The sequence below is a fragment of the Homo sapiens genome, chromosome 17, assembly GCF_000001405.40.
Source record: "Homo sapiens chromosome 17, GRCh38.p14 Primary Assembly".
Classification (NCBI taxonomy): Eukaryota; Metazoa; Chordata; class Mammalia; order Primates; family Hominidae; genus Homo; species Homo sapiens.
The window spans coordinates 43261706-43273996 of NC_000017.11; the positions used below are offsets into that span (position 1 = coordinate 43261706).

General features: G+C 55.6%; 3 non-coding genes across 3 annotated transcripts; all 3 read right to left on the reverse strand.

Moving 5' to 3' along the window:
- Positions 1–4927: 4927 nt before the first annotated feature.
- On the reverse strand, positions 4928–5118 carry LOC124904139 (U2 spliceosomal RNA). Its single transcript, XR_007066012.1, has one exon. It is a non-coding gene; the product is annotated as a U2 spliceosomal RNA (small nuclear RNA).
- A 4545-nt stretch (positions 5119–9663) lies between these two features.
- Positions 9664–9854, reverse strand: LOC124904140 (U2 spliceosomal RNA). The gene has a single exon (XR_007066013.1). It is a non-coding gene; the product is annotated as a U2 spliceosomal RNA (small nuclear RNA).
- Positions 9855–11395: 1541 nt separating this feature from the next.
- On the reverse strand, positions 11396–11587 carry LOC124904146 (U2 spliceosomal RNA). The gene has a single exon (XR_007066019.1). It is a non-coding gene; the product is annotated as a U2 spliceosomal RNA (small nuclear RNA).
- Between the last annotated feature and the right edge of the window lie 704 nt (positions 11588–12291).

A 12291-nucleotide genomic window follows, 5' to 3' on the forward strand; every position in this document is an offset into this window, starting at 1 on the left:
CTACTGCGCATTACCTGGAAAACTTATTTCACTCCACGGCCCTAAGAGGTGGGCCTTATTATTAGCCATGCCAGGGTTAGGGTGAGGCACTCCTCCAGGGCAGAATTTCAGGGGGTGCCAACCCGCGCCCTAAATCATTCAGCAATCAACATAAATTATAGTTCAACGCAATGTATCTTATCTTGTGGGCCGCAAGCCACCCAGGTGCCCAGGCAAGAGCTGAAGGACAAGCTGTTCCAGTACAGCGAAGAAAATAATTAGAATAAGAAAAGTTTTACTAGAGATAGGAAACGGATAGGATTATATCTGACTATTATTAATCATTAGTTTGTAGCATCACTCTTTGTTCTATTACCATAATGATCTCTGTTCTATTATGATTACCTTGGGGGAAACCAGGCCACACAGAGTTAGGAGCTGAAGGGCCACAGTGAGAGGTGACCAGAAGACGAGAGTGTGAGCCCTCATTCACGCCCAGAGAAGGGCCGCTGGAGGGCTCCTTGGCCTAGCGGTAATGCCAGTGCCTGGGAAGCGCCTGGTTACTTAGCAGGCCTTGGTCTAGCGGTGGCCCCAGTGCTGGGAAGCACCGTTACTTAGCAGACCCGGAAAGGGAATCTCCCTCTCTCCAGGGGAGACAGAGAACGCTCCGCTCCACCACCTCTTGTGGGAGGTCTGACATTAGCCAGGCCGGCCCGCAGTCATCCGGAGGCTCCAACGTCTGTCTCCCTGTGATGCTGTGCTTCAGTGGTCACGCTCCTTGTTCACTTTCATGTTCAGCCTGTACACCTGGCTCCTCCTTTTAAGTTCTTAGAAGACAGCAGTAGCAGAACTAGTAGGAGTACACAGTCTTCGATCTTTCTGATAAGTGCATAGAAGAAACGCTGACGTTTGCTGTCCTCCCTCTCCACCTCGGCTACCACAAAGGGAAAGGCCCCCTGTCCAGTGGACACGTGACTCGCGTGACCTATCGATCATTGGAGATGACTGGCACTCCTTACCCTGCCCCCTTGCCTTGACTACAATAAATAGCAGCGCCTCCAGGCACTCGGGGCCACTACCTGTCTGTCTCCGCGCTTTGGTGGCAGTGGTCCCCCGGGCCCAGCTGTCTTTCTTCCTATCTCTTTGTCTTCTGTCTTTATCTCTTCGATCTCTCGTCTCCGCACACACGCGAAGAGAAAACCCACAGACCCGGTAGGGGTGGACCCTACATTATCTCAGCTACAACATAATCAGGATATTCACGTGGACTACTGAGTCTTTCGGTGCCCCCTTGCTGTTTTAGTTTTGTCCTGCGGCCGAGTGTTTCCCTCGCTTCACGCCAACACAATCTCCGCCGCCCTGTCTTGTCATCCCCATTCTACAGCCCAGCACGGTGTAGTATGGCAGCCGCTAGCCACAGGTATCTAGGGAGCCCTGGAAATGTGGTCAGTTCTAATGGAGCTGTGCTGTAAGTGTGAAATACACGTGGGATTTTGACGGCAGTGGGAGCAAAATTCTCCCAATTTTTTTTTTTTTTTTTTTTTTTCAGACGGAGGTTCCGCTCTTGTTACCCAGCCTGGAGTCCAATGGCGCGATCTAGGCTCTCTGCAACCTCCGCCTCCCGGGTTCAAGCGATTCCCCTGCCTCAGCCTCCCGAGCAGCTGGGACTACAGGCATGTGCCACCACGCCCGGCTAACTTTGTATTTTTAGTACAGATGGGGTTTCTCCACGTTGCTCAGGCTGGTCTCCAACTCCCGACCTCCGGTGATCTGCCCAGCTGCCGCCTCCCAAAGTGTTGCTTGCGATTACAGGCTTGAGCCACCGCTCACCCTGGCTTTTTTTTTTTTTTTTCCAGACAAACTCTCGCTCTGTCGCCCAGGCTGGAGTGCAGTGGCGCGATCTCGGCTCACTGCAGCCTCTACCTCCCGGGTTCCAGCGATTCTCCTGCCTCAGCCTCCTGGGTAGCTGGGATTACAGGCGCAGGCCACCACGCCCGGCTAATTTTTGTATTTTTAGTACCTCCCTCCCCTCCCCCCCCGTTGCTCAGGCTGGTCTCCAACTCCCTTCTTGGGAGAGATCTGCCCAGCTGCCGCCTCCCAAAGTGTTGCTTGCGATTACAGGCTTGAGCACCGCTCACCCTGGCTTTTTTTTTTTTTTTTTCCAGACAAACTCTCGCTCTGTCGCCCAGGCTGGAGTGCAGTGGCGCATTCTCGGCTCACTGCAGCCTCTACCTCCCGGGTTCCAGCGATTCTCCTGCCTCAGCCTCCTGGGTAGCTGGGATTACAGGCGCAGCGCACCACGCCCGGCTAATTTTTGTATTTTTAGGGGGTTTCGCCATGTCGGCCAGGCTGGTCTCGAGCTCCTGACCTCAGGCGATCCGCCGCCTCGGCCTCCCAAAGCGCTGGGATTACAGGCGTACAGCCGCGCCGGGCTCTTTCATTCTGTCTTTATTTTCTGAGATAGAGTCTCGCTCGGACGCTCAGGTTGGACTGCAACGGCGTGATCTCGGCTCGCTGAAACTTCCGCCTCCCGGGTTCAAGCGATTCTCCTGTCTCAGCCTCCCGAGTAGCTGGGATTATTGACGGGCAGCACCACGCCCGGCTACTTTTTGTGGTTTTTGTATCTTCTGTCTTCTGCTCTTTAGTACCGCATAGAGCCGCAGAAGACTAGCGAGTCGAACAAACGGCCCCTCTTGCAGCAGTTGTTGATCACGGGGCTGCCCCCCGGTACTCATCCTGTGTCTCTCGTCCAAATCCCCGCTCCTCCTCAGCTATCACCTCTGCCGATGCTGGTGGTTTCCCTGGGTACCGGGAACCAAACTCTCATTCCCCAGGGGCCTAAGCCCCCCGTGGCCAGGCCCTTCTCAAGTCAGGGTTCCTGCACATTCACAGTTACGGGTGGCCCTGGGAGTAACACCTGGCACCCAAACAGGTCACCAGAGTCCACACATAGTCCACCTGCCCTCCCTGCGTAAGATCAGCTCTTCCTCCTCCCGACGATAGATCAGGGTCAATGATCCCTGCCAAGATGGCGACTGCTCCAGCCTGCTGGTCCAAACCTGTCCAGCCACAGCTGTTGCTCGAAGGCTTGAAGTTCAATGGGACCCTCTCCCCGCTTTCTACAAACTGGTTCCTTTATTTTTATGTTTATTTATTTGGGACGGGGTCTGGCTCTGTCACCCAGGCTGGAGTGCAGTGGTGCAATCACTGCTCACTGCAGCATCCACCTCCCAGCGTCCACCCATCCTCCTGGCCTCAGCCTCCGGAACAGCTGGGGTACAGGTACGCCCCAGCCCGAACAGGTTTTCACTAGGTTGCCTGGGCTCTTTCTTTCTTTGTCTGTGTTTGTTTGTTGGTTGGTTGGTTGGTTGGTTGGTTTTTGTTTGTTTGTTTCGAGACGGGGCTCCGGCTCTGCCGCCGGGGGCTGCAGTGCAATGGCGCGATCTCACCTCACTGCGGCCTTCTGGGCTCAAGCGATCCTCCCACTGTGCCCGGCCTGAAGACAGCCTTTAGAGAAAGAAGCAGGGGGAGTTCTTCCGAGGACAGACAAGATTTCTGGAGTTTGGAAAGGGTGAGAGACTGGGTCAGCGAAAGGAACATTCCGGTCTTTATGTTGGGATGCAACGTATAGATACAGGGATGAGACCCAAAAGAGCCGGCAGAGGTTTGTCATCGTGCTCGCAAGGCAACTGCCGGTGGCTGATCCCGTAAAGGATACACATACCTAGAGCGGAGCCTAAAGATGCATCCAGCATGACGGGTGGAGCCACGATGCTTGGACTCGAGCTCTGCTCCTGTGCGTTCCGTGATCAATGGCTTATACTACCTGCACCTCAGTTTTTCCCGGGCAAAAAAGGAAGCTTGCTGCCGGTGCGTTGGCACCTGCCTTAAAGTGCCAGCTACTCAGCGGGCTGAAGAGGAAGAAGTTCCTACTAGGAAGACACGTGGACACGTATGTTTACTGCAGCACTATTTACAATAGCAAAGACTTGGAACCAACTCGAATGCCCATGAATGATAGGCTGGATAAAGAAAGTGTGGCACGTATACAGCATGGAATTACTACGCAGCCATAAAAAAGGATGAGTTCATGACCTCTGCGGGAACGTGGATGAAGCTGGAAGGCCTCATTCTCAGCAAACTGACACAGGAAGCGAAAACCAAACACCGCATGTTCTCGCTCCTAAGTGGGAGTTGAACAGCGAGAACACATGGGACACAGGGAGGGGAACATCACACGCCGGGCCCTGACGGGGCGTGGGGGGCAAGGGGAGAGAGAGCATTAGGACAAATAGCCAACGCATGCGGGGCTTCAAACCTAGACGACTGGTGGATAGGTGCAGCAAAGCACCGTGGCACACGTGTACCTATGTTCCAAACCTGCACGTCCTGCACATGTACCCCAGAACTTGGGAGGGGGTGGGGGAAACCAAAAGAGCGAGGGAGAGGCGGGGGGGGGGAAGAGAGAGAGAGAGGGAAAGAGAGAGAGAGACAGAGAGAGGAGAGAGAGAGAGAGAGAGAGAGAGAGAGAGAGACAGAGAGAGAGACAGAGAGACAGAGACAGACACAGAGAGACGGAGAGACAGAGAGAGAGAGAGAGAAAGAGAGAGAGAGAGAGAGAGAGAGAGAGAGAGACAGGAGAAAGAAGAACTCCGGGTGGGTCCCATTCCTTTAAAAGGTCGCCACCCACTCGACTGCCAAGCTGAGATCCTAAGGACCTCCCCAAAGGAGGAGGTCATGGCCTTCCCAAAGCGCAGTAGCCACGGTGGAAACGAAAGCGTGCCGCATAAGCCTACCGTCTACCGCCCACACATCAGGAACCTCAAGGTACTTCAGGGAAGCAGTTAAGTCAAGCCGGCGCGTCACAGGCACTCGGCGTGCAAGCCGCCCCGCAGGTGCTACCGTCTCTTACCTCCCTCTACTTTTAGGAAACACGTTGTATCCCCGGAGGGGGTGCACCGTTCCTGGAGGTACTGCAATACCAGGTCGATGCGTGGAGTGGACGGAGCAAGCTCCTATTCCATCTCCCTGCTCCAAAAATCCATTTAATATATTGTCCTCGGATAGAGGACGTATCAGATATTAAACTGATAAGAACAGATACTACACTTGATCTTAGCCAAAAGGCCGAGAAGCGATGCGCTCGCCTTCGCGCCCGCCGTCACCGTCCCACTCTCATCCACATTCAAGTCGCGGTGAGAGCCCCAGCCTCGCTCCTTGCCCCATTCCCTCTGTCTCGTCCACAGCGCTATTGACGCCCTTACACTCTCGGGCTGATTTCTTATTCTCCGCCTTTGAAAAGGGAAATCTTACACCCGTGCTTCTTCCGGCGTTCCCGGGCTTTCATTTCGAATTTGCATGCCCCGCCCTTTCACAGAGGGCGTGGCCTCCGCCGTTGACTCCGCCCCCGGGGCCGCCTCTGCCTGGGGGAGCCGGGGCTCCGCTGGGGGCGACTTCCTTGTTCGAATCGAGCCCCCGAAAAAACAGACCCGGAAGAGACCGGGCGCGAATGCGACCGGGTTCTGTGGAAGATAACTGTCGACAGAGAGCGGACCCCGTTTTCCTGAAGAAAGACCAAGCCCCAATGCAGGAGCGCGGGCTGCGCTGGACCTTTACATCGCCACCCGCTGTCGGAGAGACCGGCCCCGTACCCGAGGGGACGAGGGGACGAGGGGCCCATGCCCAGTCAGGGAAGCCGAAGGCCTGGAGGGGCTTCCGGGAGCAGGGGCTGGAGTTCCTCTGCCAGGCAGGAGGCTGGCACCAGACACCCGGCAGAGGGAGGCGGCGAGGGCCCAGCAAGGATTCTCCCCAGCCCCTGTGCCTGCGTCTCCTGCGGCTTCTGTGCGCGGACCGTGTCCTGTGCTGTGTAGGGAACGCTGCCTCTCTGCTCGGGACGTGGATTCCTTTCCCCTCCTCCTCGCCCGGCTACTTCTGACGCAGGTCGTCAGGACTCCGCTTGGGTGTCACCCGTGCAGGAAGCCTCCCTTAGTCAAGGGCCCTCGGCACCCGCCCCATATGTGACTAGCAGCCCTCCTGTGTATTTCATCGCGCCCCCGTTGTTTATATCAGCCATTCCACTCACCACCCTTCTGGGCAACCCTTTATCTCCCGCTCTGAAATCCCATCGCTGAGGGCTGGGACCCCTCCTCAGTGCTTATCCCTGTTTCCCCGCGCGAGTCTGGCGCCTGGCGTGTGGAAGGCGCTCAGTAAACGTTTGTGGAGCGAAGAAACGACGCAAAGGTGATGAGCACGACGCAGTTAGGAGGCTATTGGCCCGGCGCGGGGGAAAAGGGGGAAGGTCGGGCTCGGGGTGGCAGGACCCCAGAGGGCAGGGGTGGCTGCCGGGGTGCTCTTGGGGCAAGGTGGGCGTCAAGGCCCCCAGCAAGGTTGGGATAAAGTTTCTCTCCGAGGCACAGACTGCCGCCTGCGGGCTCAGCATTTACCTCTCCCTTCCTCCTTCCTAACGCAACTTCAGCGGAGGGCTGAGGGCTCTACTGCGCATTACCTGGAAAACTTATTTCACTCCACGGCCCTAAGAGGTGGGCCTTATTATTAGCCACGGCCAGGGTTAGGGTGAGGCCACTCCTCCAGGGCAGAATTTCAGGGGGTGCCCACCCCCCCGCCCTAAATCATTCAGCAATCAACATAAATTATAGTTCAACGCAATGTATCTTATCTTGTGGGCCGCAAGCCACCCAGGTGCCCAGGCAAGAGCCTGAAGGCACAAGCTGTTCCAGTACAGCGAAGAAAATAATTAGAATAAGAAAAGTTTTACTAGAGATAGGAAACGGATAGGATTATATCTGACTATTATTAATCATTAGTTTGTAGCATCACTCTTTGTTCTATTACCATAATGATCTCTGTTCTATTATGATTACCTTGGGGGAAACCAGGCCACACAGAGTTAGGAGCTGAAGGGCCACAGTGAGAGGTGACCAGAAGACGAGAGTGTGAGCCCTCATTCACGCCCAGAGAAGGGCCGCTGGAGGGCTCCTTGGCCTAGCGGTAATGCCAGTGCCTGGGAAGGGCCCTGGTTTACTTAGCAGGCCTTGGTCTAGCGGTGGCCCCAGTGCCTGGGAAGGCACCCGTTACTTAGCAGACCCGGGAAAGGAAATCTCCCCTCTCTCCAGGGGAGACAGAAGAACGCTCGGCTCAACACTCTTGTGGGGAGGTCTGACATTAGCCAGGCCGGCCCGCAGTCATCCGGAGGCTCCAATTTAAGGTTCAGTGTGATGCTGTGCTTCAGTGGTCACGCTCCTTGTTCACTTTCATGTTCAGCCTGTACACCTGGCTCCTCCTTTTAAGTTCTTAGAAGACAGCAGTAGCAGAACTAGTAGGAGTACCACAGTCTTCGATCTTTCTGATAAGTGCATAGAAGAAACGCTGACGTTTGCTGTCCTCCCTCTCCACCTCGGCTACCACAAAGGGAAAGGCCCCCTGTCCAGTGGACACGTGACTCGCGTGACCTATCGATCATTGGAGATGACTGGCACTCCTTACCCTGCCCCCTTGCCTTGACTACAATAAATAGCAGCGCCTCCAGGCACTCGGGGCCACTACCTGTCTGTCTCCGCGCTTTGGTGGCAGTGGTCCCCCGGGCCCAGCTGTCTTTCTTCCTATCTCTTTGTCTTCTGTCTTTATCTCTTCGATCTCTCGTCTCCGCACACACGCGAAGAGAAAACCCACAGACCCGGTAGGGGTGGACCCTACATTATCTCAGCTACAACATAATCAGGATATTCACGTGGACTACTGAGTCTTTCGGTGCCCCCTTGCTGTTTTAGTTTTGTCCTGCGGCCGAGTGTTTCCCTCGCTTCACGCCAACACAATCTCCGCCGCCCTGTCTTGTCATCCCCATTCTACAGCCCAGCACGGTGTAGTATGGCAGCCGCTAGCCACAGGTATCTAGGGAGCCCTGGAAATGTGGTCAGTTCTAATGGAGCTGTGCTGTAAGTGTGAAATACACGTGGGATTTTGACGGCAGTGGGAGCAAAATTCTCCCAATTTTTTTTTTTTTTTTTTTTTTTTCAGACGGAGGTTCCGCTCTTGTTACCCAGCCTGGAGTCCAATGGGCGCGATCTAGGCTCTCTGCAACCTCCGCCTCCCGGGTTCAAGCGATTCCCCTGCCTCAGCCTCCCGAGCAGCTGGGACTACAGGCATGTGCCACCACGCCCGGCTAACTTTGTATTTTTTAGTACAGATGGGGTTTCTCCACGTTGCTCAGGCTGGTCTCCAACTCCCGACCTCCGGTGATCTGCCCAGCTGCCGCCTCCCAAAGTGTTGCTTTCGATTACAGGCTTGAGCCACCGCTCACCCTGGCTTTTTTTTTTTTTTTTCTTATGTTAGTATACAGCGTATAGATACAGGTATTATACCCAAAAGAGCCGACAGAGGTTTGTCATCGTGCGCGCAAGGCAACTACCGGTGGCTGATCCCGTAAAGGATACACATACCTAGAGCGGAGCCTAAAAATGCATCCAGCATGACGGGTGGAGCCACGATGCTTGGACTCGAGCTCTGCTCCTGTGCGTTCCGTGATCAATGGCTTATACTACCTGCACCTCAGTTTTTCCCGGGCAAAAAAGGAAGCTTGCTGCCGGTGCGTTGGCACCTGCCTTAAAGTGCCAGCTACTCAGCGGGCTGAAGAGGAAGTAGTTCCTCTTAGGAAGACACGTGGACAGGTTTGTCACTGCAGCATTATTTTCAATAGCAAAGTCTGGGTCCCCACTGGAATGCCCATGAATGATAGGCTGGATAAAGAAAGAGTGGCAGGTATACATCATGGAAAAACTAAGCAGCCCATAAAAAAAGGGATGAGTTCATGACCTCTGCGGGAACGTGGATGAAGGCTGGAAGGCCTCATTCTCAGCAAACTGACACAGGAAGGGAAAAACCAAACACCGCATGTTCTCGCTCTTAGTGGGAGTTGAACAGCGAGAACACATGGGACACAGGGAGGGGAACATCACACGCCGGGCCCTGACGGGGCGTGGGGGGCAAGGGGAGAGAGAGCATTAGGACAAATAGCCAACGCATGCGGGGCTTCAAACCTAGACGACTGGTGGATAGGTGCAGCAAAGCACCGTGGCACACGTGTACCTATGTTCCAAACCTGCACGTCCTGCACATGTACCCCAGAACTTGGGAGGGGGTGGGGGAAACCAAAAGAGCGAGGGAGAGGCGGGGGGGGGGGAAGAGAGAGAGAGAGGGAAAGAGAGAGAGAGACAGAGAGAGGAGAGAGAGAGAGAGAGAGAGAGAGAGAGAGAGACAGAGAGAGAGACAGAGAGACAGAGACAGACACAGAGAGACGGAGAGACAGAGAGAGAGAGAGAGAAAGAGAGAGAGAGAGAGAGAGAGAGAGAGAGAGACAGGAGAAAGAAGAACTCCGGGTGGGTCCCATTCCTTTAAAAGGTCGCCACCCACTCGACTGCCAAGCTGAGATCCTAAGGACCTCCCCAAAGGAGGAGGTCATGGCCTTCCCAAAGCGCAGTAGCCACGGTGGAAACGAAAGCGTGCCGCATAAGCCTACCGTCTACCGCCCGCACATCAGGAACCTCAAGGTACTTCAGGGAAGCAGTTAAGTCAAGCCGGCGCGTCACAGGCACTCGGCGTGCAAGCCGCCCCGCAGGTGCTACCGTCTCTTACCTCCCTCTACTTTTAGGAAACACGTTGTATCCCCGGAGGGGGTGCACCGTTCCTGGAGGTACTGCAATACCAGGTCGATGCGTGGAGTGGACGGAGCAAGCTCCTATTCCATCTCCCTGCTCCAAAAATCCATTTAATATATTGTCCTCGGATAGAGGACGTATCAGATATTAAACTGATAAGAACAGATACTACACTTGATCTTAGCCAAAAGGCCGAGAAGCGATGCGCTCGCCTTCGCGCCCGCCGTCACCGTCCCACTCTCATCCACATTCAAGTCGCGGTGAGAGCCCCAGCCTCGCTCCTTGCCCCATTCCCTCTGTCTCGTCCACAGCGCTATTGACGCCCTTACACTCTCGGGCTGATTTCTTATTCTCCGCCTTTTGAAAAGGGAAATCTTACACCCGTGCTTCTTCCGGCGTTCCCGGGGCTTTCATTTTCGAATTTGCATGCCCCCGCCCTTTCACAGAGGGCGGTGGGCCTCCGCCGTTGACTCCGCCCCCAAAGAGCCCGGCAGAGGGTTTTGTCATCGTGCTCGCAAGTGCAACTGCCGGTGGCTGATCCCCGTAAAGGATACACATGCCTTGAGCGGAGCCTAAAGATGCATCCAGCATGACGGGGTGGAGCCCACGATGCTTGGGACTCGAGCTTTGGCTCCTGTGCGTTCCGTGATCAATGGCTTATACTACCTGCACCTCAGTTTTTCCCGGGCAAAAAAAGGAAGCTTGCTGCCGGTGCGTTGGCACCTGCCTTAAAGTGCCAGCTACTCAGCGGGCTGAAGAGGAAGAAGTTCCTACTAGGAAGACACGTGGACACGTATGTTTACTGCAGCACTATTTACAATAGCAAAGACTTGGAACCAACTCGAATGCCCATGAATGATAGGCTGGATAAAGAAAGTGTGGCACGTATACAGCATGGAATTACTACGCAGCCATAAAAAAGGATGAGTTCATGACCTCTGCGGGAACGTGGATGAAGCTGGAAGGCCTCATTCTCAGCAAACTGACACAGGAAGCGAAAACCAAACACCGCATGTTCTCGCTCCTAAGTGGGAGTTGAACAGCGAGAACACATGGGACACAGGGAGGGGAACATCACACGCCGGGCCCTGACGGGGCGTGGGGGGCAAGGGGAGAGAGAGCATTAGGACAAATAGCCAACGCATGCGGGGCTTCAAACCTAGACGACTGGTGGATAGGTGCAGCAAAGCACCGTGGCACACGTGTACCTATGTTCCAAACCTGCACGTCCTGCACATGTACCCCAGAACTTGGGAGGGGGTGGGGGAAACCAAAAGAGCGAGGGAGAGGCGGGGGGGGGGAAAGAGAGGGAGAGAGGGAAAGAGAGAGAGAGACAGGAGAGAGGAGAGAGAGAGAGAGAGAGAGAGACAGAGAGACAGAGACAGACACAGAGAGACGGAGAGACAGAGAGAGAGAGAGAGAGAGAGAGAGACAGGAGAAAGAAGAACTCCGGGTGGGTCCCATTCCTTTAAAAGGTCGCCACCCACTCGACTGCCAAGCTGAGATCCTAAGGACCTCCCCAAAGGAGGAGGTCGTGGCCTTCCCAAAGCGCAGTAGCCACGGTGGAAACGAAAGCGTGCCGCATAAGCCTACCGTCTACCGCCCGCACATCAGGAACCTCAAGGTACTTCAGGGAAGCAGTTAAGTCAAGCCGGCGCGTCACAGGCACTCGGCGTGCAAGCCGCCCCGCAGGTGCTACCGTCTCTTACCTCCCTCTACTTTTAGGAAACACGTTGTATCCCCGGAGGGGGTGCACCGTTCCTGGAGGTACTGCAATACCAGGTCGATGCGTGGAGTGGACGGAGCAAGCTCCTATTCCATCTCCCTGCTCCAAAAATCCATTTAATATATTGTCCTCGGATAGAGGACGTATCAGATATTAAACTGATAAGAACAGATACTACACTTGATCTTAGCCAAAAGGCCGAGAAAGCGATGCGCTCGCCTTCGCGCCCGCCGTCACCGTCCCACTCTCATCCACATTCAAGTCGCGGTGAGAGCCCCAGCCTCGCTCCTTGCCCCATTCCCTCTGTCTCGTCCACAGCGCTATTGACGCCCTTACACTCTCGGGCTGATTTCTTATTCTCCGCCTTGAAAAGGGAAATCTACACCCGTGCTTCTTCCGGCGTTCCCGGGCTTTCATTTCGAATTTGCATGCCCCGCCCTTTCACAGAGGGCGTGGCCTCCGCCGTTGACTCCGCCCCCGGGGCCGCCTCTGCCTGGGGGAGCCGGGGCTCCGCTGGGGGCGACTTCCTTGTTCGTATCGAGCCAGCGAAAAGACAGAACCGGAAGAGACCGGGGGCGAAGGCGACAGGGGTCTGTGGAAGAGACCTGTCGGCGGAGAGCGGTCCACGTTTTCCTGGAGAAAGACGAGGCCCCAGGGCAGGAGCGCGGGCTGCGCTGGGCCTTTACTTCGCCGCCCGCGGGCGGGGAGACCGGCCCCGTACCCGAGGGGACGAGGGGACGAGGGGCCCATGCCCAGTCAGGGAAGCCGAAGGCCTGGAGGGGCTTCCGGGAGCAGGGGCTGGAGTTCCTCTGCCAGGCAGGAGGCTGGCACCAGACACCCGGCAGAGGGAGGCGGCGAGGGCCCAGCAAGGATTCTCCCCAGCCCCTGTGCCTGCGTCTCCTGCGGCTTCTGTGC